Below are 27,294 nucleotides of genomic sequence, written 5' to 3' on the forward strand. Positions count from 1 at the left end.
CAAAGATGATGGTTTTCTTGCTGTTAAATTCCAATGTATCACAGAGTGAGAGGAACAGAAACACTTAATAACAAATCAGCCCACATATGAAATTTCAGAAGTTTTCTCGTTAAAGAAGAGATGACCCATCCATTAATCTCGCCGACTTTTGTGGAGACCTACCATGCATCTTACCACCTTCAGAGAGCTGAAAAGAGACAGACCCCAAACAAACCTTATATTAAGCCAGAGAAAGGCTACAGTAGGGTCATGGCATAAGGGAGGGAGGGACAGGGCCCTCTGGGGTCTGGTGCACGGGACAGGGGAGAGGAGGTGGGGTGACAACAGCAAGGTTTACAATGGGAAGTCTTCAGTTCTTTGCACAATAGCTAAAGAGATGAAGTATTTCTGCAAGAATTTTCTATTTGGTGATGCCACTAAGATATCCTTAATCATTTTAAACTCATACTTTCTTACACTTCAATGTTTCTGTGGGCACCTAAAATATCCAAATTTACCAAAAGAAAATTTAAAAAGGCCAGTCTTTGAGAGAGGCTGTAACAATATTCTGTTTTCAACCATCTACCAGTTATTTCCCAGAAAAATCTAGATTAGAGGCATGGTTAGTGATTTAATAGAAAATTAATTTTTTTAAATTTTAAAATTTTATTTTCCCCATTTATCAGAAACACATAGTCAGAGCCAATTTAATAGGGTAGGGCTCTCTAGAGAATCCATCTAAGACCTGAATACACAGTGCTCGTGGTATATTAGGAAAGGATATTTGGTCTTTGTCTCCAGTGCCTGACTCAGAGCTCCTAAAACCCTTGGAATTTTCTGAGTGAGAAGAGGGATTAGAGAATCTGTTGTTCTAATGGGGCAGCTCCCTGTGGGCTCCTGGAAAGCTTCAGGAAAGGGGTGGTCATCCGAAAGACCGAGCCTTGATTAGAAGCCTGGGGCTTTCAGCCCCACCCCACAGGGAAAAGGGGCCAACGGTTGAGTGAATCATCAACAGCCAGTGATTGCGTCAGTTCCGTCTATGTTATAAAACCTCCATGAAAACCGCTAAATGACAGGTTCAGAGAGAGCTCCACATGCCTGGAGGGAAGATGTCGCACCCCAGCTCCACGGTGCAGAAGCTCCTGTTCTCAGGACTTCTCTGACCTTGGGCGATGCACCCCTTTATCTGGCCACACACTTTGCCCTTTATAATAAACTGGTGGTCATAAAGGGAGTGGCTTTGCCAGCTCTGTGAGCCATTCTACCACATCATCCTCCTGAGGAAGCATTGTGGGTCCCCCAGCTTGTAGCCACTCGGTCAAAGGAACTGGGAGCCCAACGTGTGGGATTGGATTGGCGTGTGGAGTGAGGACTGAGTCCTTCACCAATGGGATCAACATGTGGGATTGGATTGGCGTGTGGAGTGAGGACTGAGTCCTTCACCCATGGGATCAGCATGTGGGGTTGGATTGGTGTGTGGAGGGAGGACTGAGTCCTTCATGGATGGGATGTGCCTGTGGGGTTGGATTGGCCTCTGGAGGGAGGACTGGGTCCTTCACCAATGGGATCAGCATGTGGGGTTGGATTGGTGTGTGGGGTGAGACCAGTCTTGTGGGACTAGTCCTTCACTGATGGGATCTGATGCTACCCCTGGTAGAGAGTGGCTGAATTAAGTTGAATTTTCAGACACTCAGCTGGTGTCAAAGACTTGGAGAAGTGGCCTTAGAAAAGACACCATATATTTGGTGTCAGGAGGGAAGGGAACCTCCCAAAGCCTCACCCTGGAAAGGATGCCGAGCAATGCTGATTAAATCAGTGGAGTTGGCGGGGCACGGTCGTTCACACCTGTAATCCCAGCACTTTGGGAGGCTGAGGTGAGTGGATCACTTGATGTCAGGAGTTCGAGACTAGCCTGGCCAACATGGTGAAACCCTATCTCTACTAAAAATACAAAAATTAGCTAGGCGTGGTGGTGGGCACCTGTAATCCCAGCTACTCAGGAAGCTGAGGCAGAAGAATCACTTGAACCCAGGAGGCAGAGGTTTCAGTTAGCTGAGATTGTGACACTGCATTCCAGTGTGGGTGACAGAGTGAGACTCTGTTTCAAAATAATAATAATAATAATAAATTAGTGGAGCTAATGGAACTCTATATTCAAAGTATCAGAAACGAAGGTACTATCACACACACGCACACATACACACACGCACGCACACTCACACACACGCATGCACACATACATGCACGCACGCTCACACACATGCACATACACACATACACGCACACACACGCATACACGCACGCAAGCACACTCACACACGCACACATACACACGCATGCACACACGCCCACATGCACACACATGCACACTCACACACATGCACACACACGCACACACGCACACGTACACACATGCATGCACACTCTCACACACGCACATACTTATTCATTGATTGTTCCAGTCAGATTTTCATCTTAAGGAATGAAAATCACTTAAAAGGTTTCTTTTAACCAAACATTCATAGTCAGTAGATCTATTTCACATCTGTGATTATATTCTTAGCAAGTCTAGACAAAAATTATCTTTTTAAAGAAAATTTATTTTATTTTTTAATTTAATTTAACTTATTTATGTATTTTGAGAAGCAGTCTCACTCTTGTCGTGCAGGTTGGAGGGCAGTGGCGCGATCTCGGCTCACTGCAACCTCCCCTTCCTGGGTCCAAGCAATTCTTCTGCCTCAGCCTCCCTAGGAGTCGGAATTACAGGCATACGCCACCACGCCCAGCTAATTTTTGTATTTTTAGTACAGACAGGGTTTCACCATGTTGGCCAGGCTGGTCTCGAACTCCTGACCTCAGGTGATCCACCCACCTCTACCTCTCAAAGCGCTGGGATTACAGGCATGAGTCACTGCACCCGTCCTTTAAAGATAATTTAAGTAATTATCTTTAAAAAATTATTTTACAAAATAATATTTTATTTTGTAAAAATAAAAATAGACTCCAGGATATTTTTTTCCTCATCTGGTAAATGCTTAAGAAAAAAAAAATTGTCTCTATATACACACATAGATGTTTTTTCTTAAAGAGAGAGCGAGAGAGAGACGATGAAAACACCTGGCTTTAAAATAAGTAGATGATAAAATTTCTAAGTAAATATAGTGTGGATCAGTTCCGCTGATGATCCTGGCCCCCCTGCTGCTGGGGTCCAGCCAGTCTCTCCCAGACACTCAGCCCAGGTGGCACAGTCACAGGCAGACTCAACCCCGACAGAGGGGAGGGAGAGCAGCCCAGCGCCTCTGGGTAGCATGAGCATTGCCCGAGCCTCTCTCCACCAGCGTCCCTCCAGTGGCCCCTGAAAGAAAGAACACGGCCTCTCGTTTACCTGCCAGGAATGTAGGAGCCTGAAGCTACAGGAGAAGCTGTTGCTCTTCATAACTTGCGGGCGCGTTTTGATGCATTTTTGGATTGTTTTCCTCTTGGTGCTCTCCAGAATTCACTGCCCCAGCCCTGGGAGAGGTCATTGTTTCATATACGGATGTCCAATGGGCCCAGCACCACTTGTTGAAATAACTTATTTTGCACAACCTGTATAGCGACACAGCTCTGGACAACGTGCTCTCTGAGAACTTTCTCACTAGGTTGATGACAGTCCTGTGAAAATTGAGGGTGGTATTGACATCTCTGTCTGTGACAGATAGAGAAAACAAGGCAGAGAGTGTATGAGTCCTTGTCCAAGATGGCCCAAGTGCGAACAGGTGGAGCTGAGACCTGAACGGTGTCTCCCTAGCACCCAGTCCCAGGCGCCCGTGCATTTCATTCTCTGCCTTGAGGGAGAGCCTCAGGTGATCTCCTTAACCTGGGAGTCACTCCCACTGAGGCTTCTGCAGGACCAGGGATGCCCAGCGAGGCAAGTCTCTTCACTAGCTCATGGGCTAAACGTGACTTGAAGTTTCAGTGTATTAGAATGTATTCAATACACTTACCCTATAATCCTGCCTCTGGTGAACCTGTCAACCACAACTGGCACAGAATTGCCTTTCCCTCCCCTTCCCTACAAGACATGGCGTGGGCAGGAGCCACAGGCTCCTCCTAGAGACTAATCCACATCTCATAGGAAGAAAGACCTCGACAGAGAAGGCCTCTCCAATGCCAAGGCTCCCCTTTCAAAAGAAAGGAAACACCATCCCACCCGGGATCAACATCTTAATGTGGTCCCACCCGGTATAAACATCGTAACGGAAAAGGCAAGGGATTTGTGTTTTGTCGCATTTTTGGGCTTCCTTTATCCTATTCTAAACATTGGTTTTGGACCGCGTGCTAAAGCCCCACTCCTATTTGATGTAATCCTTTGTAAAATCATGGCATCCCAATGGTCTTACACTCCTTTTAAGTTTTCAGTAAATAAATAGAGTCTGGCACAGCTGCCCCCCATGGTGTGACATGCCAGCACCCCAAAAGCCTCTCATCAATCATAAGATGGGGAAACCTTGTAATTCTACATGTTTCTGATATTTCCTTACTTAAGAAAATCATGTGCTCAGCTATTTAAAAATTACTTTTCATCTTAGATTACTCTAGAGAAATGCTTGCCCAGTGAAGCCTAGAAATCTGTGAGCCCTTTAATTTTAGACCTTCGATTCATTGAAAGGAACTATAACCTAATAGTAAACATTAATGTTACCCCCTGTAGGATAAAGGTGGGGGGTTAACATTGGACTTAACTCATAGACTGTTTTTTTTTCTTTTTGCTTAGGAAAATAAATTGCTTCATCTTATTGCTACAGTTTGATAATAATATTGATGACACAATTTTATCAGTCAATGTGTTATACTATTAATCTCCATTCAGATTTCAACCATAACTAACAGCGCTTGGTTATGTATGACTTTCTCATATGCCCTCAACATCGATAAAAATTGGTTTCTCCATGGCAAACCCAGGCCTAGCCTGTGGCACAAATCGTGTTTACTGAGCCACCACAGGCCCCAGGGATTCTGGGATGGTCCTTAACACTCCAGGTGGAGTGAGGAACTGCCGGTGGTCCCGGCCAGAATCACAGCTTCCTTCCAGATTGCGTTCTTACTCCAAGAGCTACACTGCTAAGGAGAACAAGTTAGGCCACCTTCTTGGATACCCCCATTTCCTCACCAGCCCTAAGGCGCTGGTGTTAGACACCAAAGGAATGTGGTGTCTTCAGGCACTCTCCCAAAGCTCCCTCCTCAGTTTCTATTCTACATTTCTCTTAAACGCTTCAAAGTGAATGAATCGACCTGAGAGAAGAGAGTCAAGCTGTGTGAGATACACCTCATAATATGTAATTCCTTGCACTATTTCCCACAGCAGAAGGAAAATCCAACTCACTAATGTAAGAAAATAAAGACATGAACAAAAGAATGAAGGAATGAATGAGTGGCTGGCTGGATGGATGGTTGTATTTACGAAACGTCATTTTCTAACAAATCAATTTTATTTTGTTTAATATGGCCAAAATATTTGGAAGTTAAGGTCATAGAGGTTTAAATTACACAATTAGCAGAAATTTGAGGCCAAAATTAGTTTTTACTTTTCTTTGGAAATCATTTCACCAAAGTACACAATCCCTCCTGGAATGATAAATTAAGTTCAGTGTTACTAATTCTGAAAAATATGCCAATCCCTACTGAGGTGTTGTAAATTATTTGTAAAGTCTGTGGATTAGATGTGCATTTTCATTTTTTTATTTTAAGTTCCAGGGTACATGTGCAGAACGTGCACGTTTGTTACATAGGTAAACGTGTGCCATGATGGTTTGCTGCAACTATCAACCCATCACCTAGGTATTAAGCCCAGCGTGTATTAGCTATTTTTCCTGATGCTGCCCCTCCCCCTGCACACCCCCCGACAGGCCCCAGTATGTATTGCTCCCTCCCCGTGCATGTCCATGTGTTCACATTGCTCTGGATGGAGCTGGAAGCTACTATCCTCAGCAAACTAACACAGGATCAGAAAACCAAACACCACATGTTCTCACTATAAATGGGAGCTGAAAGATGAGATGTGCATTTTTAAGTAAAAATCCAATTTTTCAGCAATGAAGTAGAAAGTGTGATTATGTCAATACTTGTGTTTGTGTGTTTGTGTTTCTATAGACCTCTTAGAAATAATTTAAAATTATAACATTCTATTTATTTGTAGAATAAAAAGTATAATTAGCCACCTTGTGTGTCAAGCCTGAAGATTTGAGAAATTTACCTTCAGAAAGAAGTGATTTTTTCCTACCTTAAGTTTGTCACATCCTGGAAATGCCTATCAAAGTGAAACTTTGGACTATTCTCAAGCCAGAGATCACAGGCACTCTAGAGGACAAAGAGGTTGGTGTTTTTGAGAAACCAGTGTCAACTATACTCACTGAAATCATTAAAAATGTAAACAGCCTCTGATCATGACACAGAAACTCACTTTTGGACATGGTATAGCCCCACACCTAAAAGCAAAATAAACCAGCCCAAAATACACAAACATAAAGCACAGGGTCACCAAGGAGCCACTAAAGGATTTCTTATCCTACTCCAGATCATAAAAGACAGAAGTGAATGCAACCTTACCTAGGGTTGGGGACCTCATCTATGCATGAGGTCCCAGCAGCCAAAGGACCCTGGGAAGCATCCAGGTTACCATAAAGAAAAAAAGAGATAGCTTGGAGAACCAAGCTGTCCAGACAATACCAAATATTATTACCTTGACTAATAAAATATTTCTCTCATCACATTAAGATGAGTGTCTATATTCCCTGACGTTCCAAAGAGAAGATAACTGCAGCACATGTTATGGAATTAATATTTCAGGTTGTTTAATGTTTTGAGCTGCCTTTTTAAAAACTTTGATTGATCATCAGGTCAATATAAAGTTAAATCCCTTTGTATGCTTTGACACAGCCTGAGCTAAGGTCCTTATAATTGTGACTTACTTAAAAGGGGACTAACAACATACCTATGCTGGCGTCCTTCACGAGGGTGTTGACTGATGGTCATAGTACATGACAAGCTCAGATGTCAGATATGAGATATACGTGTCAACTTGCTTGCTTTATAGAAAACAGCGTTTCAGGGACAACATGCGTATATGACCAATTTTTTAAAGGCAAATCTTCATGTAAATTTGGGCCAACTATGTCCAACTCTTCCTGTGGGTGCCTGCAAGGGAGCCCTAGACCCTGAAACTACAGATGCTGTTTGGAAGCTTTGGTTAAGAACCAAGACTGAAGGTCTATCAAATCTTCAGATAGACCAAGAATGACTGAAATCCATTGGAGAATTCTGAGGACCAACACAGATCAACAGTAAGTATTAAATTGTTTTATTTCTTTAGCACCCAACTCTTCACTCCCAAAAACATCTAAGTTGTTTCTAAAATTAGGTAACAATATCATTAACACTAGCATAAAATGATGACAAAAAGATGAATAGTATTCCACTTGGCCTTTGGTATTTTTCTTTACAGGGGGATATCTTTCATTTACTTTCTCATCAAGACTTATATGGGTCCCAGGAAATGGATGGTGGCAACCTCAAACCAAGATGTTTGAGGGGTGCAACTGGAGCCCAGTGAGCAGATTTTCAGCCTTGCTAGAGAAGGGAATCAAAATAACATGTGGAAGAACACTCTGTCCCATTGCTTCTCCGAATGTCCTCTCCTCTCTTTCCCCACACAAATGCATTTCTTTTTCAAGTACTCACATTTCCACAAGATAAACAAGGCAAATATGGAATTTCCCTTCCACATACTTTCTCTTTTATTTTTAAGCAGAAAACATACTACACACAAAATTCACTGGGGAAAATGGTTCTATTCTTGACAGGGAAAAAACAAAGATCAAGTTGTAAAATTGTAATTAATAGATTGTCAAGACTGCAAGCTCTCTCCGGAGTGCTGGTTAGACCAGTTCTCTCATTTTCCCTCTCTTCTTATGCCTCTTGGGTTGGGTGCATGGATTCGCCATCCCAGTGCCCTGGATTTGCTCAGGCGGCAAAACTTCCCAACATGTATGTCCCCTGGTGTTTCTCAGGCCATCTGTGACCTGCCTGACCGAGATCTCCAGCAAGGCCCGGGGTGACTAGAAATCCTGCTGTCATCCTTCAGAACCAAAAACCCAAAATGGGCCGGGCACAGTGGCTCAATCCTATAATCCCAGGACTTTGGGAGGCCAAGGTGGCTGGATTACCTGAGGTCAGGAGTTTGAGACCAGCCTGACCAACATGATGAAACCCCATCTCTACTAAAAATACAAAATTAGCCGGGTGTGGTGTCGTGTACCTGTAATCTCAACTACTCAGGAGACTGAGGCACGAGAATTGCTTGAACCCAGGAGGTAGAGGTTGTAGTGAGCTGAGATAGCGCCACTGCACTCCAACCTAGGCAACAGAGTGAGACTCCATCTCAAAAAAAAAAAAAAAAAAAAAAGAAAGAAAAAAGAAAAAGAAAAAAGAAAAAAGAAAGAAAACCCGAAAATGAAAACCTGAAATAAAACCCAAATGCCAACAACACCTCCTGTCATGCCCCCCATGCCATGTACTTCTCCTGGAATTGATTTCCATCTCTTGTTCTAAGTAATGGAAATCACTCAAGAAAGCAGAGGTTGGGAGAAGAACGAGGCATCACAGGGTCTCGGTGAGCACAGCTCCCATTTCAGCAGCACCCCCAGGACGGGCACACATCATCAGTGTACCGCATCGTCCCCACACTTCGGACATAAACTGCTAGTGACAGGTGAAATATTTATGCAGAGGAGGATGTTCTGATGTGCTGTGGCTTATTTAATATTGATATTTCTCTAGAACAATTGGGGGATTTTGCTCTGGAATGTGCTATTGTTTCTATCATTGTTGTTTTGTTTTTATCATTTTTAAATCAGATCAATTTTTTGGGACACTCCACTGGTGGACTGGAAATGCCACGGTTGTGTGCCAGGAGATAGCTGCCTACAGGTTTATAAAATCAACCCTATTACTAAGAGTTAACCAGTTAGTGGGTGTTTGCTGCCAGGTGTGACAAAAGAATTACCTACATGATGTCATCACACACTTGGGAAGTAGGTAATATGGTTCCCCGTTATAGACGAGGAAAGCCTTAAGTGTAAAAGTCTTTTCCAAGGCCATTCAGGGATTAAGTTGAGGCTGGAGCCATGATTCAAAAATCAGATGTGCCTGGCTCAACCCAGAAGACTTCGCTGTGTGCCGCCAGAGGGAGGACTCGTGGTGAAGCTGATGCAGCAGACGCTTTGCTCCCAGGTTCCTCTGGGTAACCCGGGCTGCTCTGCTCGGGGCAGGCAGGGAGGGAAGCCAGGTGCACTCCAGGAGCAGTTTCCAGGATGCATTTCTCATAAATCTTTTCTTGGAGTCCCAGGAGAAAGTGACCTGAGCCTCTCCCGTCTTTGGTTGGGCTTTCTTTTCCCATCCCAAATCAATGCTCACTTTTATACCTAAAGTATTATTTTTCTTACAGAAGGCACAACTGGTGAAGCTTCAGGCCCCCACAAAACCTGGATCTTCCCCTATCAGTCACTCAATGATCATCTTACAGTGGGTGTGTCTAGCAGATTATTTTACGCAGAGCAGGGTCTTAAGGCACTGGAATGCAGGGCAAGTGTGTTTGGGTAGAGGGGACAGAAGCAGAAGTTCATGCCTCTGAGGACACATTCTGGACCAGAGAGAAGGGCTCATTCGGCACACAGCAGAAGGATCTACGTGCCCAGAAACAGGTGGATGAAGAAAGCAAAGCTAAGAGGAGGGGAGAGGAAGGAAGGGGTGAGAAAGATGATCCTACAAGGCACCCGTTAAAAGGGCAGGGAAGGGGCTGAGTTTTTAAATGGCAGCAGTCACCTCCCTAAATCAAGGCTGGAGGCCTACAGGGGCTGGAGAGCAAGACCTGCAAGAGAGAGGTCTCAGAGTCAGCTGGTCTAAGTGTGGGCTGAGAACAGCTTTGAGAAGAGGTGGACACAGAGTGGGCTCCCCTGCAGGGAGGCAGCCGGTGCGTGGGAGCACAATGTGGGGATGTTTTAAGTGCACATGCTTAGTTTAAGGCAACAAAAACAAGCCTGCTTTGCTGCGCTTTGGTCCCTTATAGTTGACTGATGTAATTGCACTATCAATTTTACATCTACGTTTCCCATACTCTTGCCTACTGAATCCCACTCTCTGTTATGTGCGCGTCTGCTGACTGCGCCCCTCCTACAGAGCTGCCACACATTCTGGAGAATATGAGGACAGGAGGATCTGCTGGGCACACAGAGGCCTCTCCCCAGTAATCTGTGTGACTATGCTGGACTTGTAAAGGATGGGCTTAGGACCAGCTGTCATATTTGATGGAAAATAACTAACAGGATAACCAATTGTCTGACAACCAACACCCTGTGCCCCAAATCGCCGTGTGACATCTTTGGAAAACATAATCTCAACGTTTAGAAGTTGAAAACACAACCTCTTTAAATGAGCATTTCCTGTAGTTTTGCCTAAACAGAGGGGTATTTGAGCAGATTCAGAAAGCTAAGCGAATAACAAAAAAAGAAGCAAAGTGCTTTTTCTGGTCTAAACTGAAGAACTGTGAACTCTTGGTTATCACGTGTTAGCCTCAGTGAACTCTGAACGCCAGAGGCTCAAAGCCTGAGAACTTGTGACAAACCAGTGGCTGGGGCCATCCTTACCCCTGTTGACCTCTGGTTTCTCTCATTGTGAAAGCTCTTTCAGCCTGTGCAGAAGACAAAAGCCATCACCAGGGACACCAGACGAGTTTGTTAAATAGAGCCGTCTGGGCACAGAAGGTGCAATCCCATAAATCTTCATTTTTCCTCGTCTGTCCAGAGTGATTAGGATAAGCGTCTATATGAGGGACATTCACCTGGAAAGCAGCACAGAGAAGGCATTGGCATCCCAGGGCTGTGACATGGAGGCAGGGCTTCATAGGATGTTGGCAGGACATGGCATCTTTATGCCTGCTCAGTTCTCCTGCTGTCACCACCCATCAGAGACAGATTCAACCGTGGGGACTCGCGCGTTAAGGGACCACTGCCAGGAGGGCATTCCTTTACTGTATAAGAATTCAAACTCAAAGCACAAGATTTGTCAGAAGAGCTCAACAAGTACAAAGTCGCTGAGACTGGGAGCACCTTTGTGGCTCACTTCACTTATAAAAAATGATAAATAACCACAGCCCAACTGAATACAAAGAAAATTGCCTTCTTTTTGGTGTTTCATAGGCTGGGTCTGTTTTAAAACCATTGTTCTTATATAATAGTCTCACGTGATGATTGTTTATACCAGTAAAAAAAAAAAAATCTTAAAATCTCCTTTAAATTAAAAAGAAGATATAAACTATCACTCCCTTATAGCACCCCTTTTTATAAGCATAATATTGAGACTAGTTAGATTTTATCTGAAAAAGATGTATAGTTTTACATTCAATCTATACATGAAAACCAAGTGATTTTTTTCCAAGAACTTTACAAATAAAACTGAGTAAAGGGGACAGGCGTGATGGCTCACACCTGGAATATCAGCACTTTGGGAGGCCCTGGAGAATTGCTTGAACTCAGGAATTTGAGACCAGCCTGGGCAGTATAGTAGAACTCTGTCTCTAGACAAAATAAAAACAGTTAGCTGGGCATGGTGGTGCACCCCTGTTGTCTCAGCTACTCAGGAGGCTGAGGCAGGAGAATCTCTTGAGCCCAGGATGTTGATGCTGCAATGAGCTATGATCACACTAGTGTACTCCAGCCTGAGTGACAGAGCAAGACCCTGTCTCAAAAACAACAACAAAAAACTGAGTAAAGGGATTGAAGCTCTCCTTACATGAATTTAGACATGGCCTCAGGAGTTGTTTCTTGCTTTGTTTCTTCCAATTGTTTGCCCGGAGGCATACTGTACAATAACAAATTAAAGTTCTCTAGCTCTTTAAAATGTTCATGAAAGGAAAATAAATCTTGGGGCCCCCAAATCACCAAGCTACATGCAAAAGTCAAGCTGGGAATTGCTTAGGGCAAACCTGCCTCCGGTTCTATACAAAGTCACCCACCTGCTCATTGAGATAAATGCAGATCTGATTGCCTCATTTGGAGAGGCTCATCCAAGCCCAAAACAATGTAGCCATTTTTCTCTTATCTACCTATGACCCAAAAGCCCCCTCCCTGCTTTTGAGTTGTCCCGCCTTTGCCTGGAGTTGTCCCAGCTTTCTGAGGTACAATTTACACTTATTGGTTGACATCTCATGTCCCCCTAAAATGTATAAAACCAAGCTGTGCCCCTACCACCTTGGGCACATGTGGTCAGGACCCCCTGAGGCTGTGTCACATAAAATAAACTTTTTAACTTAACTGCGACCTTGGCAAAATAAACTTTTTAAGTTAACTGAAATCAGTCTCTGATTTTCAGGGTTCACATGTTTCATATGCAAAATAAGTTCATACATTTAATAGGTGTTTTGTTATTGGAGAAAACTAACTCAATGCCACTCTTCTGCCTCATTAAGATAGTTCCCATTTTTGGCTAAAGTTAGAGTCAGTTCCCACCCCCCCACCCCCAACTGCAAACAAAACCTGACCCTTTATGCCTGAGGAAGACATTATTGAGTCATACCTCCCAGATAGTCACATCTGAGGTCAGTTCTCTCCTATACTCTCATTACATTTTGTCCTGGGGGGTTTCCTGTTTGCTAAGGTGGCGGGGGGTGAGTGGCGGGAGCACTCTATTTGAGAGCTGAGACCAGGATTTTCATCACAGTTCTGCTTCCCACCTCTGTTTGACACTAGGAGGGAGGCTTCTATTTCGACAAGAGGAAAAGAAGCAGTTTGGGGTGATTGCTCTTTGGGGTCCCTTTCAGCTCAAATTGACCTAAGTGTGCAACTCCTCTCTTGTCTATGGAAACCCGCCAGCTTTAGAGCTTTACTGAGGAGCCTCCCCCAGGGGATCATTTATTGATGCCTCTTGTCTGGAAACTGCTGGTTTTGGATCTAGGGTCTGGATTTGAGGCTGGAGGCCCATGACACCCTTGATGGCTGCCCAGCCTGAGCCGTCGGCACCCTGGAGCTGCTAGACTGCCTGGGTACACATCCAAGCTCTTCCTTTCCCTCCTTTCCAGTGAGTTAGGTTCTCCAACCTACTACCGTGAAGCAGGGCTTGTCCTGGGATGTCCCTTCTGGAGCTCACCCATGAGCCACTTCCCCACTCTAGGGACAGAGCCTCTTTCCTGTGGCCATGGCAGCTGAGCTTCCTTGAGGGTCAGCAGGCCTCAGGTCCAAGGGTCCCAACTGCAGGGACACACCTGGGCATCTCCGTGGACCGAATGTTGAGAGGTGACAGGCTTCCTGAGGCTAGGACATGAGTGTTTCCTGAGCTCCTCCAAGGCCACTGAGACTGCTGTAGCCTCACCTCAAATAAAAACAAAGGCAGCCTTCTTCATCTAAGGAGAGACTATTCGAAAGGATTATTGCAAGAGGACAGGGCGCTTGCATGGTGGGATGAAGGCTGTTGCAGCAGAAGGCTCTGACCAAAGGTCTGCAAGCTTCTCAAGGGTTACGAAAAGGCTAGAAAGAACTGGGTAAGGTAAAAGGGAATGACATGGTAGCTGATGGGACCACAGATGAGAGAAGACTTCTCCCTGAGGCCAGGCTATTTCTGGAAGGGAAGCCTGTAGACTCCAGCTGAAGGTGTGGCCAAACCTCAGTGGCCTAAAGGAAGGGGATGCTGATGCCAAGCTTGGTCCACAGGCATTTTGTTCCAGTGTACTCATGAGGACAAGACACGCAGTGTATCATTTTGAGGTGGAGAATGGGGGTTTGCAGGTCTGTGTCTGGCTGGTGCTGGACAAAATGGGGGCATCTGGGAGTCTCATGGCCTCATATGGGAAGAGTGGTCTTCACAATGAGCCCATCTCCGGAACACAAAGGGTGGGGGGATTGCTCGGCCTTCACTGTTAGGCAGGAGCTCAGGGCTCCAGTAAATTTCAACCTTGTTGAGACCCAGATCCCCATGAGAACCAAGTTCTGGCTTTGCCCCTATTTTTTGAGCCAGGACAATAGGTCACTGGCCGTCCTGGGATTTGGGCCGCCCGGGTCAGAATCTGTTAGGTCTAACTGCGTCATGAGTTCCTCCAGTTCAGTGTCTTGCTATGCTCTATAAGGTGAGAAAAGAACAGAGAAAAACAATGGCAGCAACGAGAACCGGGGCTCTCTTTCGGTTGCTGCAGAGCCTTGAACTCCAGCGCTGAAGAGGCTCTGAGGAGCCCCCAGATCTGGAAGGTAACTTGAGGAGAACAATTCTTAGTGGTTTTGGAAGAAGAAACTTGAAAATAATGCTGTCAAAAACATTTAGTAAGCACCCACCCCCTTTCAGGCCTCATCATCTAGGCACAGGGGACCAGAGAGAAATTAGAAACCACCCCTGCCCTGCGAGAGCTCCCAGCCCACAGCACAGAACAGCGGGGGCTGCTGGGGGCAGGGGTGGCCTGTAGCATCTGCTCAGGGCTTGGACTCCCCTAGAGCTGGAGACGCCCCTGAATTGGCTGCAGTGGACTCTTTCTTTTCTATGGTGAGCAGCCCAGGAACTGAAAGCAGGCCTGTGAGGGGACAGCCCGGCCACCTGCTGGGGCTGTGTGGGTGATCTCAAGGGGCACAATTTGGCTACAAAAAAAGCACATATTGTAAAAGCCACTAGACAAGCGTTCTCTGCATGAATTCAAAGAAGGGCATTCATGAAACCTCAGGGGCGCTACAGAAAGGCAGCAAGGAGCGGCCAGTGGAGGAATGGTAGGGGAGGGTTACCCCAGACTGCCGAAATAGGGTTCCAGGAGAGGGGCCCAGCACTGCCATGGAAGACTAATGTTTGAGAAGCATTGGATAGATCAGGGGACTGTGGGGCCTGTGGGCCTGGGGTCCTGGGATAAATAAGAGACTATTCCACGCAGAGGCAATGCTCTGTGAAAAGTTCCAAAGGTGGAAATTGGTCTGCAAATACACGAGAATGTCCTGTGGACCAGAGTTAGCGTGAAGGGAAATTTCCTGCTGGGGAGAGGCCTTGGAGAAGTAGGCTAGAGCCTGTGGAGAAGATTCTAAATACCCCCACCACTGCCCCAAAGAGCGGGGACTTTGTCTTGTAACCAATGAGAAAGCCTAGAAGGGGAAAGTTAAACTGAGGACTACTGCTGCATTTTTCTTTTATGTTATTTACTTAACTTTTTTAATGGTAAAATTTGCATAGCAAAAATTTTATGCAATTCCTTGGCACATAGTACTTTCACAATTTTATTGAAGTTCATGACCCTGCTCTAAATGAAATAATAATTTGTGATTTTATTTTGTAATCAGTGATTGAATCTAGAAATAAGCATAGTGGTTGACTTTATATTTAGATCAGAAAGGACATGAAAGAAAATAGCTAATTCCAGGTGTGCTCAGAACCTCCACTTGGTAACAGGGTTTTGTGAGTGAAGACACAATGTTTAATATCAAATGTGTGCGTAATATTGCATATAATAGCTTTTTTTTTTTAGATGAAGTCTCACTCCGTCATCCAGACTGGAGTGCAGTGGCACAGTCTTATCTCCCTGTAATCTCCACCTCCTGGGTTCAAGAGATTCTCCCGCCTCAGCCTCCCTAGTAGCTGGGATTACAGGTGTCCACCACCACACCTGGCTAATTTTTGTATTTGTAGTAGAGACGGGGTTTCACCATATTGGCCAGGCTGGTCTTAAATCCCTGACTTCAGGTGAGCTGCCCCCCCTTGGCCTCCCAAAGTGCTGGGATTACAGGTGTGAGCCACTGCGCCTGGCCTATAATAGCTTCTTAATATCCATGTGGACTGTCAGAGAAACTGACTCACGCATAGTAAGTCGTGCTCCACAGTGGACTCCTGGCTGGCAGGAGGACTGGCCTGAGAACACAGGGTCTCACTGGTATCACAGCTGCCTCCAATGTCCTTCCCTACAAGTGCAAATAAGTGTTTCCTTACCTCCCTCATGATACCTGTCAAACTAAGCTGCCAGCTCTCTACAAAAGCAAACTGAACCACACACAGAAGACACGAGCATTAGTAAGCCTGGAGGCACAGCTGGTGCCCCACACACGTGCCCTGGGGAGCAGCCGGCCTAGGCTCCGTGCCTCCTTGTGTTGTAGGAGTTTCTCCTTAGTTCAGCTGAAAACGGGGTCTTTGTCACATGGCCATGAAGTATTAGGCTCGCAGACACTTCGAAGAGTGAGAAAAATGGAATTTATTAGATGAAAAGGAAAAAAACTCAGCAAAGCGAGAGCGGTTACTGTTAACAGGCCCCCATCTAACAGATTGCCTCCCCGGTTACCACACAGCAGAACAGGAGAGAGAGGCCAGGCTACTCCCCCTTGCAAAGGGTGCCAACTTCCCAGGGCTCCACCCCCGTGCGCAGCCCTCCCAGTGTGCAGGCCGGTAGGTGGTCCTGCCAGGGAGCCCTTCCCACCAGGCTGTCTCACCTGCTGTCCAGACGCCTCCAGCATCACTACCACTCCAGACACCTGGATGTGAATCTGCCAGATGTGCATCTCTCCTTTCTCTCCCTCCTTCTTCCACTCTCTCTCTCTCCCCATTTCACTCTTTTTTTTTTTTTTAGACGGAGTCTCACTCTGTCACCCAGGCTGGAGTGCAATGGCGTGGTCTTGGCTCACTGCAACCTCCACCTCCCAGGTTCAAGCGATTCTCCCGTCTCAGCCTCCCGAGTAGCTGAGACTACAGGCACCTGCCACCATGCCCGGCTAATTTTTGTATGTGTAGTAGTAGAGACAGGGTTTCACTGTGTTGGCCAGGCTGGTCTCAAACTCCTGACCTCGTGATCTGCCCACCTCAGCCTCCCAAAGTGCTGGGATTACAGGCATGAGCCACCGCACTCGGCCCCCTTTTCACTCTTAAGTGACCAGTAAGACTCTGTTAGGTCTTGAAGGTTATAAGGATGGTGCACATGCTCACTCATACATATCTGCATGGACAAACACACATACATGCACACATATTCTAACACATGTGCATGTACACAAACGCGCGCACACACACACACACACACTATTGGCTTCTACCCCAGAACCAGGTTAGGTTCAAGAGTTCTCTCCCCCAGGCCCATGACCCATCTCCCACTGTTTCTTTTTTCATGAGTATATGCTATTTTTTTCTATCGTTTAGTCATTGGAAGTGCAGCTGAGCTGGAGACTTGCTGTAGAAAAACATGGACATTCTCTGCAGCCTCTTCAGAGCTTCTTCAGAACACTTTTAAACAACTTTTCTTGCTAAGGAAAACTCCAACTGTTTATTTTCCTTCTTGGCAATAGGTTTTCCACAAGAACAGGATTCAACCCTACATCCAACTTGCTCTCTTCTCTGGAATTGCCTTTGGCCTGCGCCATTCTCCTGTTGCAGAATACTTTTTGTTCTTCTGTCATCCTGGCTTAGAGGCCATAGAAAGAGGCACAGCATAAATTTAGGATGGAAGATAATAAACAACTCAGGGACACATAAAATGTGTTTAAGGAGTGGCTGCTATTGCACTTCCTGCCAATTTGAGTGGAGATCTATAAATTCACAGCTTTCTAATTACCGACTTTGATTTTGGTCCCTGCCACTTAGACCTTCCAAGGCCTTTTTATGATTTCTGCATCCAAGTTAGATAAAGAATGTGTTTTGATGAGGATTGTGGCAGCTTCCTGAGCCACTGGCCCACGAGTCCCTGAAGATTGCATTGCCTGTCCCACTTTATCATGATTCACTGTCATTATCTCACCCATTCTTGGCTTCAACTTTGGGGAGGAAGCTGAGCATCTACAGAAAGACCAGGAGTTCTGAGAAAAGCTTGCAGAGATATTTTATGTTTATGGCTTGGGTTTTAGCTCATTTTACACATAAATGTTGCTTTTCCTATGGAAATGTGATAATGACATGTTATTATGATTACATAGATTCATTTATTCACTTTATATTTATTGAACACCTACTATGCACCAGGTCATCAGGTGGAGACATTGAGGTAAAAAGGATGACAGGATTGCTGTGCATGGAGAGCCCCCCATCCAGGGGAGAGGGGGATGTTGGCACGGTGGGGAGGGCCACAAAGAACCCTGAGTAGTTTGGGCCTGATAAATTTCCGTCTTGGCTAACTGTTAATTCCAGGTCATCACATTTCCTGCTTGAGCTACAAGTAGTCTCAGTCCAGAGCAAAATGAAATATGTAGATAACATCAGCCATGCCTGCGCCAAAGGGATACTGTATTAGTCCATTTCTTGCTGGTATAACAGAATACCACACACTGGGTACTTTATAAAAGGAAAGAAGATTGTTTGGTTTTTAATTCTAGAGGCTGGAAAGGCCAAGGGCATGGCACCAGCCCCTGGCAGGGATCATCCCATGGCAGATGGCAGAAAGCAGAAGGCACAAGCAAGCTGGAGAGAGACAGAGAAATGGGGCAGAACTTACCCTTTCATCAGGAGCTCACTCCCATAATAATGGCATTATTATTAATCACCTCTTACAGGTCCTACTTCTCAACACTGTTATAATGGCAATGACATTTCAACATGAGTTTTGGTGGGAATTCAAATCATAGCAGATGCTGTCCACCTACTCAGGCTGGAAGAACTTACTAGAGGAGCAATGTTCTACCCTGCTCCTTTCACTAGAAAGCCATGCAAGCTCAGGATATGTTTCTGTGTCCCTTCTGGGGGCAGCCACTCACAGCTTGTCTATACCCCACCCACACAGTCAGAAAGAACCCAGTCTTTTTCTGCACAATAATGGAATCTTATGTAACATGTTGGAACAGAATCAGGGAAGGAGTCCTTTCTCAATTTAGATAAGTTGTGCTTTCCTTATAGCAAAACTTTGTTTTGTTGTTTTACTTTTTTGGAGATGAGCTTACTTGGTCGGCAGGTCATCCGTTCCAAGCATCACAGGCAATATGCTCACTAGTGGAGAAAAAGCAGAACCATGGTCCCCAGGGTCTCCACAGCCTGCACTTATGGTGGAGGGAAGGGGCCGACCCAAAAATGCACCAGCAAAACGACCTTCACAGAGAAAAGAAGGGGCTCTCCTGGGAGAAGGATTTGGTGGCCAGACTTTAGCAGGGCTGAAGGGAGCACAAGCATGGATTCGGGGATGATCAGGGTAAAGCTCAGGTCATGGGGTGCTGCCCCTCCCCTCACAGGGGCAGGGAAAAGCCCCTGCAAGGCTGGTCCAACCTGCATTCCCCCAGACCCTGCTAGGAGGCCCCGCCCCTTGGCCTGGCTTGTTCAAACACACTCAGAGTTCCAACTGGACAGGTCTAGGTGGGGTCCAACAATTTGCATGTCTAACAACTTCCCTGGGTGATGCTGATACTGCCAGTCCAGGGACCCCACTTTGGGAGCCACTGAAGTTATCCCTTCAGCTTGCTGTATGGTAATTCCACGGACCCTGTAAACTCTAGATGCTGCAATGACAAAGTGAAATAATGGATGGAAAAGAAGTGGCCAGAGAGTCACAAGGAGCTCAAGGATTTTCAAATATATTTTGATCATATTATTGTTCACTTAAAAATGAGGATCATGGAAGTCTTTGGGCCTAAGACATTGGATTTTTAAAGAACTTCTTACGACTAAAGAACTACAGCTTTAGTTCTTAGCTGTGGTTTCCTTCCAGTTGATGTCAGCTAATATTAAGCAGTATTACGTCTCCTAAATCACTCTTTACAGCCCCCATGGTATTTAAAATATCTTCTGTTTCCAACATCCTGGAATACTTAACTAACCCTTTTCCAGATCAAATGAAATCCCTGGTGTTTTTGTTTATTTACAGTTTTTGGAGGTGGCATGAGAGCTGAGGCTTATTGTTGGCACACAGCGGGTGTTTTTCACCCTGTGCTACCTAGAGGTTAATTGAAATGAACACCCTGGAATAGAGAAAGTAACCAAATACGAGGAAGGCAGAAAAATGTGCAGCCTCAGGTCCAGCCTGCTGCTCCATTGATTAATATAAATGGCAAAATCCCAGAAACTGAGAGCACACAGGCCCCAGGGCTGCGTCTGAGTGACCCAAATCGTCAGCCAGGACTTCGGACTTACTAGTCCTATATTTTGTCCTTTGGGGATATCTTGCATCACACTTTTTATTATGGTTAACATTTTATTTTGGAAATAATTTTAATCAACATTTAAGAAAAAGTTAGAAAAACAGACAAGAACAACTGTATTCCCTTTACTCAGAACCAACCGTTGTTACCTGTTTGCCCACCTGCTGTTTCATTTATTCTCTGTCTCTGATTATGTGTGTGTGTGTGTGCGTGGTTTTTGTAATATATGTATGGTATGTATGTGTATGTATATTACAAAAACCACACACACACACACACACACACACACACACACACACACACACAGAGCACTTTAAGGCATGACACTCTCCCGCTCTTCATCAAAATCCACCTGCCCCCTGAATAGACCAAGCATTCACGGATGCCGAAGCATTCACAGTTGCTGCGCATTCATGATGGTTCTCATCTGAACCATTCTTTACCATGAAGGCTACGGAATGAGGCTTTTCGAAGCTCAGCACACCCTCCTCATGGACCAGCCCAACTTGGCACTTGACTGCAAGCAAGAGCTTCCCCTTCTCCCCTGTCTATTTTATGGACCTATTTATTATTGACATTGACTCACTGACTCATTTGCAATAATTCACTGTTATCCTTATTTTTTTGGAATGCCACTTGTCCTGGGCTTGGCTAGTGGGAGCTCCTTCCTGTGGCTCCGTGTCCTTGTGTGACATGCTCCTGTCATTTTTTATTTTAAGCAGTTTCTTACTTTCTAATGCAATAAGATGTTTCAAACTGACAAAGATTCTCTCCTTGACCAAACTCTACTCAGGCCCTTTTGAGATCTTTTTCAACTAGACCTTGACTTTGGGACTTCTGGGTTTGTCTCTGTGTTGTCCAATTTTAGCAAGAATTTGTTTAAGTCAGTTCAGCCCGAATCCACCATTCTCCATATCTAGTCATGCTAGATATCTAATCAGGTTTCTCATTCCCCACGATCCCCTGGGAGATGTCAGCTCACCCTGTCTGCCTTCAGCTAGTCTCTCCCCTGGCCTCCAATGTTTCCCTTCAGTAATTTTCCATCCACTGATGCCCACCCTGCCCCTTGGCTATAAATTCTCCCTTTTTCATGTATTCAGAATTGAGGCCAGTTCTGTACTGGGGTCTCTTTTACCCTATTGCAATAGTTTTTCTGAATAAATATGTTTTCACCATTTTACCTAACCACTATGTATGGTTTCTCTTTGACAAAACTCATCTATTTTCCCCACCCTCTCTCTGGGTTCTATCTTTTTTATGCCTAAAACAAGGCAACTGACATCCATCTGGTTTACTTTAATGCTATAAAGAGTGTGTTCTTTACTACGTATCTGGGGTTCTGAATGGAAGTCTTCTGGTCAAATAGGACTCCTTGGTAGCAAGAGACAGAAAATCTGACTTGAATGAGCATGAGAAAAACATCCATTAATTGGTCAAAAGAAGCCAAGGGAGAGTTGAACAATGAACCCCTGGGAGGGGAGGAATGCATCTGGCCCCAGGGACCGCTGACAACGAGGATGCAGATGCTGCCAGGAAGTCTCCCAGAGCCTCATCTTTGCTTCTCCCAGTGGGCCACTGCAGCCCTGAGCCATGTCCCTCAATGGCAGAACATGGCATGACACCCCTGCTCAGTTTCTACCACCAGGGAATTCCTGTTCAAAAAACAGGGAAGAAACTCTGAATCTTCTGGCTTGGATGAGGTTTCCAATCCTGGGTTAATCAAGAGGGCCACGGATGCAAGCTCATAAGAGAGGACAGATCTGGCCAAACGGAAGGAAGAGTGGAGGAGGGCCAGGAAGCACTGAGCAGACAATCGTGTGCCTGTCTATCACAAACATGATGGCTGCTGACTCCTGCTCACTATGCTTAGGTGTCAAAAGGGAGTTACTTTTTTTCTTCTAGGTGATACTGGATGGTAAAGTTTCCAACAACTACAAAACCATATGATGTTCCTGACAAAGTTACATGGGTAATAGCAGTGAAGTATTGAGAATGTCAACCAACACCACCTCCTTGTCTCACATTTATTTGTCTGCACTGTGGCATTATGTTTATTGTGTAAATATTGAAAAAGCCATCAGGAGAGAAAGGCACTTGGAGATCGGTCCTAACTTTCTGTAACCTTGGGCAACTGGCTCAGCCTCTTGGACATATGTCAGCAGTGGTGAATCCTCATGGGTCTGCAGCAACCTCAGTTCTTGCTTCCTCAGAAAAAAGAAATTTGACTGAGGAGGCAGAAGGCAGAAGGAAAGACAGAGACTGAGGCAAGTTTTAGAGCAGGAGTGGAAATTTATTAAAAAGCGTTAGAGCAGGAATAAAGGAAGTAAAGTACACTTGGAAGAGAGCCAAGCAGGCGACATGAGAGATCAAGGGTACTGTTTGACGTTTGACTTGGGGTTTTATATGTTGGCATGCTTTTGGGGTCTTGTGTCCCTTCTCCATGATTCTTTCCTTGGGGGAGGCTGTCCACATGCACAGTGGCCTGCCAGCACGTGGGAGGGCCACATGGGCAGTGTGTTTACTGGAGTTGTGCGCGTGCTCACTTTGAGGCGTTCTTCCCTTCCAGTTGAATGTTCCTAGAAGGTCACAGACCGGTTAAACACCACCATTTTGCCTCTTGATGTGCAAGCTTGAGCCCACTTGCCCAACTCTTGAGATGTTATCGGGAAGCTGCCGATCACCAGCTTCAGCTGTTTTCTATCTATTGGGAGACTGGTTTTCCCTGTGCTGGCTGTGACCAATTATTATTTTAGAGAGACTGTAACAACTGCCTGAGCATCACCAGATGGTGGCCTGACATTCCTGGGGGAAGGGAGGGGCCTCTCCTGCCTTGCTCATCTCCACCAGACTACCCACTGTAACACTTGGGCTAGCTTGAAAGTCCCTTGCTGCTCTAACATCCCATGATTGCATGGTCTGTGTTCAAGGAGGCTCATTATTTTGACAGTTTTGGCCTTGCTTTGTGTAGAGCTCAGCCAACCCATGACTGTTGGTGACCACAGATGGACAGAGAACCCAGTCATGGACCAGCCTCCTTCCCTCCCTATTACCTAATTCCCAACTCCCTTCTGGCAGCCTTTGACATTCTTCTGGTTTGGAATCCATCTGTGGGTCCTGTTTCATCCATCAAATTCCAAATTATGTTCATCTATTGCCATAACAACAAGTGGACAGCATGAGGCTGCCGGCCTTTTCTACCCCAAAGTGACAGTCACTGTGCTTATCATCCGGGAACAGCCTCACCACACAAAGCCACCCATGTTTGCAGACCTCATCATCACTGCCATGGTGGTCATAACAGCAGCCACTCCCACCACTCACTGGGAGGAGCTCCATGAGGCTAGGGCCTCCACCAGGATTACAGGACCTATAGAAAGACATTTGGAAGTGGGTGCTGAGTTACAGGCAGGGTTAGGTGACTTGTGTTTTGACTCTATTATGAATGTGTCATGTTTTTGGGAGTATGAACATGCCTGGAAAGTGGAGTTGAGACTAAACTATTGGTTCCACCATAAGGGATGGGATTAGTGGTTCCTGGGCCCTGCCAGCAATGCAGCTGTATAGACAAGCCACGGTGACCTAATCTCCCCAAGTATGAGCTGGCTCCTCCAGCTGTGACGGGGGAGTTCTAGCTGGAGGATGTGAGATAGATTTGAGTGGAGTGGGAAAGTCTGTGAGTGTCTGTGGATGTGAGAGGAGAAAGGGGATGGCTGTATTAAAGAGAAAGTAATATACCTATGATTACAGAGGGAGACCATGTGGGCAGGTGGTGAGTATTCCTGTGCTCAGGAAAAAGGAAAAAGGAAATGGAGAAGATACGGGCACCAAACAAATTAAGAAGAAGGCAATGCCCATGGGAGAAGCAAAGACCAGCAGAAAAGGGGACGGACCACTCTCGTCCAAAGGAAGTGAGTCATGCTCCATTTGCAGAAAAGTGGCAATAAAAAAAGTTGGTAAAATCAGTACGTTTTAAAATATTTGGTTATTTTCAAAAAAAGGATTAGGGAGATGTTGAGTCCTCATTTTGAGCAGACTTTCCCTGGTGCTGAGTGTGGTCAAGCTCACATCTTCCCCCACATGGTTCCTTGAGACTTAATGAGGAGGCATTCTTGTACATATTTCTTCCATTCACCTCGTTAATTTCCAGCACATTATTCCAATTGTAGTTAAATCATTCATCGTGTAATTAGCTGATGGTCTAATTTTACTCTCTCTCTTCCTTTTCTCCTTCCCTCCTGCCATCCTATCTCTTTTGGATAGATTGACAGGTGAACAACAACTTAAAGCGAAGAAATTTCAACAAGTCTTTGGTTTATTTTAACCAAACTTTTTCTACATATTTTTAGATAGTTAAAAAATCAATAAGGAATTATTGAAAGCATGTTTTTCCAGGCCTTTTGAGCTTAAAAATTAAAGACAATATCCCAAGGAAAGGATGCAACTAAATTTTTTAGACAATAAACTTCAAATACTCATATTTCATGTATTTATTTATATCAAAATGAAACTGAATATTTAAACTAGAATGATAGAGCACGTAAATTCAATTACTTAGCTGTCACTCATTCTAAGAATACAAACATATAAGTGACTCAATCAAAAGTGGATATTTTAAAAATATATAGAACAAATTATAATTTCTGAAAGGCTCAAATTAACCAGTTTAGAATGTTCAAAATTTGGTCCAAAAGCTGGAAACCAACTCCTGTAAAATTAGCATACTTTATACAAATGGATTAATCCAGAAGACAATACAAGATCCCTGTGTACTCCTGTGAATTCAGCTTCCTTCTGTGTCTTTGTGTCAATATTGTAGCCATAGCATTGTTGATCGAGATACATAAAAGTCCTAGTGATTTTGACTGGATGTGTGGCTGTCTGTTGCCTTTCCATGCACATCCTGTGTGAATCCCTCTATATATAGAGAGAGGAAGTCTATGTGTGTGTGTGTGTGTGTGTGTGTGTGTGTGTGTGTGTCTGTGTGTGTGTATTGGACTTGGCAAGGTTTATTTGGAAGGGCACAGAGTCTATCTCACTCCCCCAGGTCCTGAGAGTGCACTGGAGGGAAAGGGGTGGATTTCAGGGAACTTTCTTGCTGTGTTGGATGCTCTTGGGGAATGGCTGCAGGCCCAGCCAGAGCTGCAGCAAGAGGACAGCATGGCACACATGCTGGGCAGCAGAGCAGTAGGATGTGGAGGGGTATGTGTTCCAGGAGAGCTCCATGAGCCCCACCACCAGCAACCTGAGCAGGTGTGTGAGCCAGTGTGCAGTCCTGGCCCACAGGAGGTAGGGCAGTGTGTGGAAATACCAGACACAGAACTGGTAGTGGAGGGAGGTGGCTAAAGCAGATGCCAATGAAGTTAGAGGTGAAGAGGGTAGAAACGATCTGGTTGGCTATGAAGGGCTTGGGTGGAACCTTCCTTTTGGAGGGATCCTTCATCAGTGACAAGATACATTCCCCCATCCTGGGCCACCAGTAGAGGGTAAACAGCAAGAGCAAGGTGAGGTGGGTGGCCATCAGGGCCAGGTGGAAGGCACGGTGCAGGCAGAGAGCCCCTGGGAGGAAGCACCAGTTCATTGTCCAGCAGAACAGAAACTGGCGGCCAAGGTCAAAGGAGCGAGACAGGTAGCCAGTGGGCTTCTCCAGCAGGAAGGGCAGCCCCAGCACCACCTGAAGGCCAACACAGATGCCCAGCTTGGGGAAGGCCCCACGGCAGCCAAACTGTGTGAGGAGAAGAAACAGTAACCCAGGGGCGAACAGCAGCACTTTCATCTTCACAGAGGCTGCCAGGCTGGAACACCAGCAGCCCCAGCCCCAGCGCTGGACCAGCAGGAGGCTGATACCGAGGGCACTGGGTCATAGGAGAGCCACAGCACAAAGGTGCAGTGGACACAGTAAGAGGCGTGGCACATGAAAAATAAGATAAAGGGAGGTACCTTGTAGGTCTGGAGGTAGATCAAGAAGACAAGCAGCAAGGTGGCCAGGCAGAGCACAGCAAAGATGTTCTGGACATGTGAATGTCAGTGCCTCGGCCAGGGGCATAGAACAGCCCCATAAAGATGGACACAAAACCAGCTGGGTACACAAGTGGCCCACTGTCACAGGCCACTGTCATAGACAGCTGGGTCTAGTCATAGGTACCGCTGATGACGCCTTCCACCTGGGCCATGTAGGCCTTCTGGTCGATCTCTGTGTCTTTCACTAATTTTCAGATTTTGTAATAGGAGTCGTTCAGGTACCTGTAGAGGAACTGGCACAGGATGTGCAGGGAAAGGAGGAAGACAGCCACACATCCAGGTGAGCCAGGTGTGAGAAAACATGGATAGGGCCAGGCGTGATAATCCCAGTGCTTTGGGAGGCCAAGGCAAGTGGATCACCTGAGGTCAGGAGTTCGAGACCAACCTGAGTAACATGGCGAAACTCCATCTCTACTAAAAATACAGAAATTAGCCAGGTGTGGTGGCGGGTGTCTGTAATCCCAGCTACTTGGGAGGTTGAGGAAGGAGAATTGCTTGAACCTGAGAGGTGGAAGTTGTAGTGAGCTGAGGTCATGTCACTGCACTCAGTGAGCTGAGATTGCACCACTACACTCCAGCCTGGGTGAGAGAGCAAGACTCCATCTCAAAAAAAAAAAAAGAAAAGAAAGAAAGAAAGAGAACATGAGCAGATGCATTACAGATTTGACTCAAAAGCAACTGTTTCAGAGGTTCAAATTGATCTATGCACCCTTCTAAGGGACTCAAATGGTTAAGAATGTCACCAGACGAATCTCAGAGTAAAAACCAAAGCCCAAAAAGACTGCTCCAAAAAGAGACTCATCATCACGAACTTCTAGGTCAATTACACATTTTAAGGTCACCAGAGCAGGAATGTCACTAAGGCGAATTTTTTCTTCAGGACCTGCTAAACAATGACAATACTCAGATCAGGAAAGTAAATGAACTTATTGGGACCGATTTTAAATTATCTCAATTGCCTGAATGAGCGCTATATTCATTTTCATCGTTGTCCCACCCCAGGCTTCTGGTAAAGCCCTAGCGTTTCAATTACTTTACAAAAAGTCTTAAAAAGCAAGTTAATTCTCATTTCACACTCAAGTGAATCAGCTTTTACTTTGAGTTTCCGTAATGACAAAGTAAGTCTTTGATATGCTTTGGCTATGTCCCCACTCAAATCTCATCATGAATTATAGCTCCTGTAATCCCCACATGTTGTGGAAGGGACTCG

General features: G+C 45.4%; 1 long non-coding RNA gene and 1 pseudogene across 2 annotated transcripts in view, besides 1 other annotated feature; both read right to left on the reverse strand.

The window, feature by feature from the left end:
- LOC101929200 (uncharacterized) overlaps nucleotides 1-27,294 on the reverse strand; it is a 163,580-nt gene that overhangs the window by 92,026 nt on the left and 44,260 nt on the right. The window lies entirely within an intron of this gene.
- Nucleotides 1,327-1,827: an enhancer, noted in NCBI's record as "H3K27ac hESC enhancer chr5:5352015-5352515 (GRCh37/hg19 assembly coordinates)". NCBI's record gives its function as "activates a minimal SCP1, AML or CMV promoter by ChIP-STARR-seq in primed H9 embryonic stem cells {active_cell/tissue: H9 hESC(primed)}" and the evidence as "EXISTENCE:reporter gene assay evidence [ECO:0000049][PMID:30033119]".
- ALG3P1 (ALG3 pseudogene 1) lies at nucleotides 25,057-26,269 on the reverse strand (annotated as a pseudogene).

The sequence above is a fragment of the Homo sapiens genome, chromosome 5, assembly GCF_000001405.40.
Source record: "Homo sapiens chromosome 5, GRCh38.p14 Primary Assembly".
NCBI lineage: Eukaryota > Metazoa > Chordata > Mammalia > Primates > Hominidae > Homo > Homo sapiens.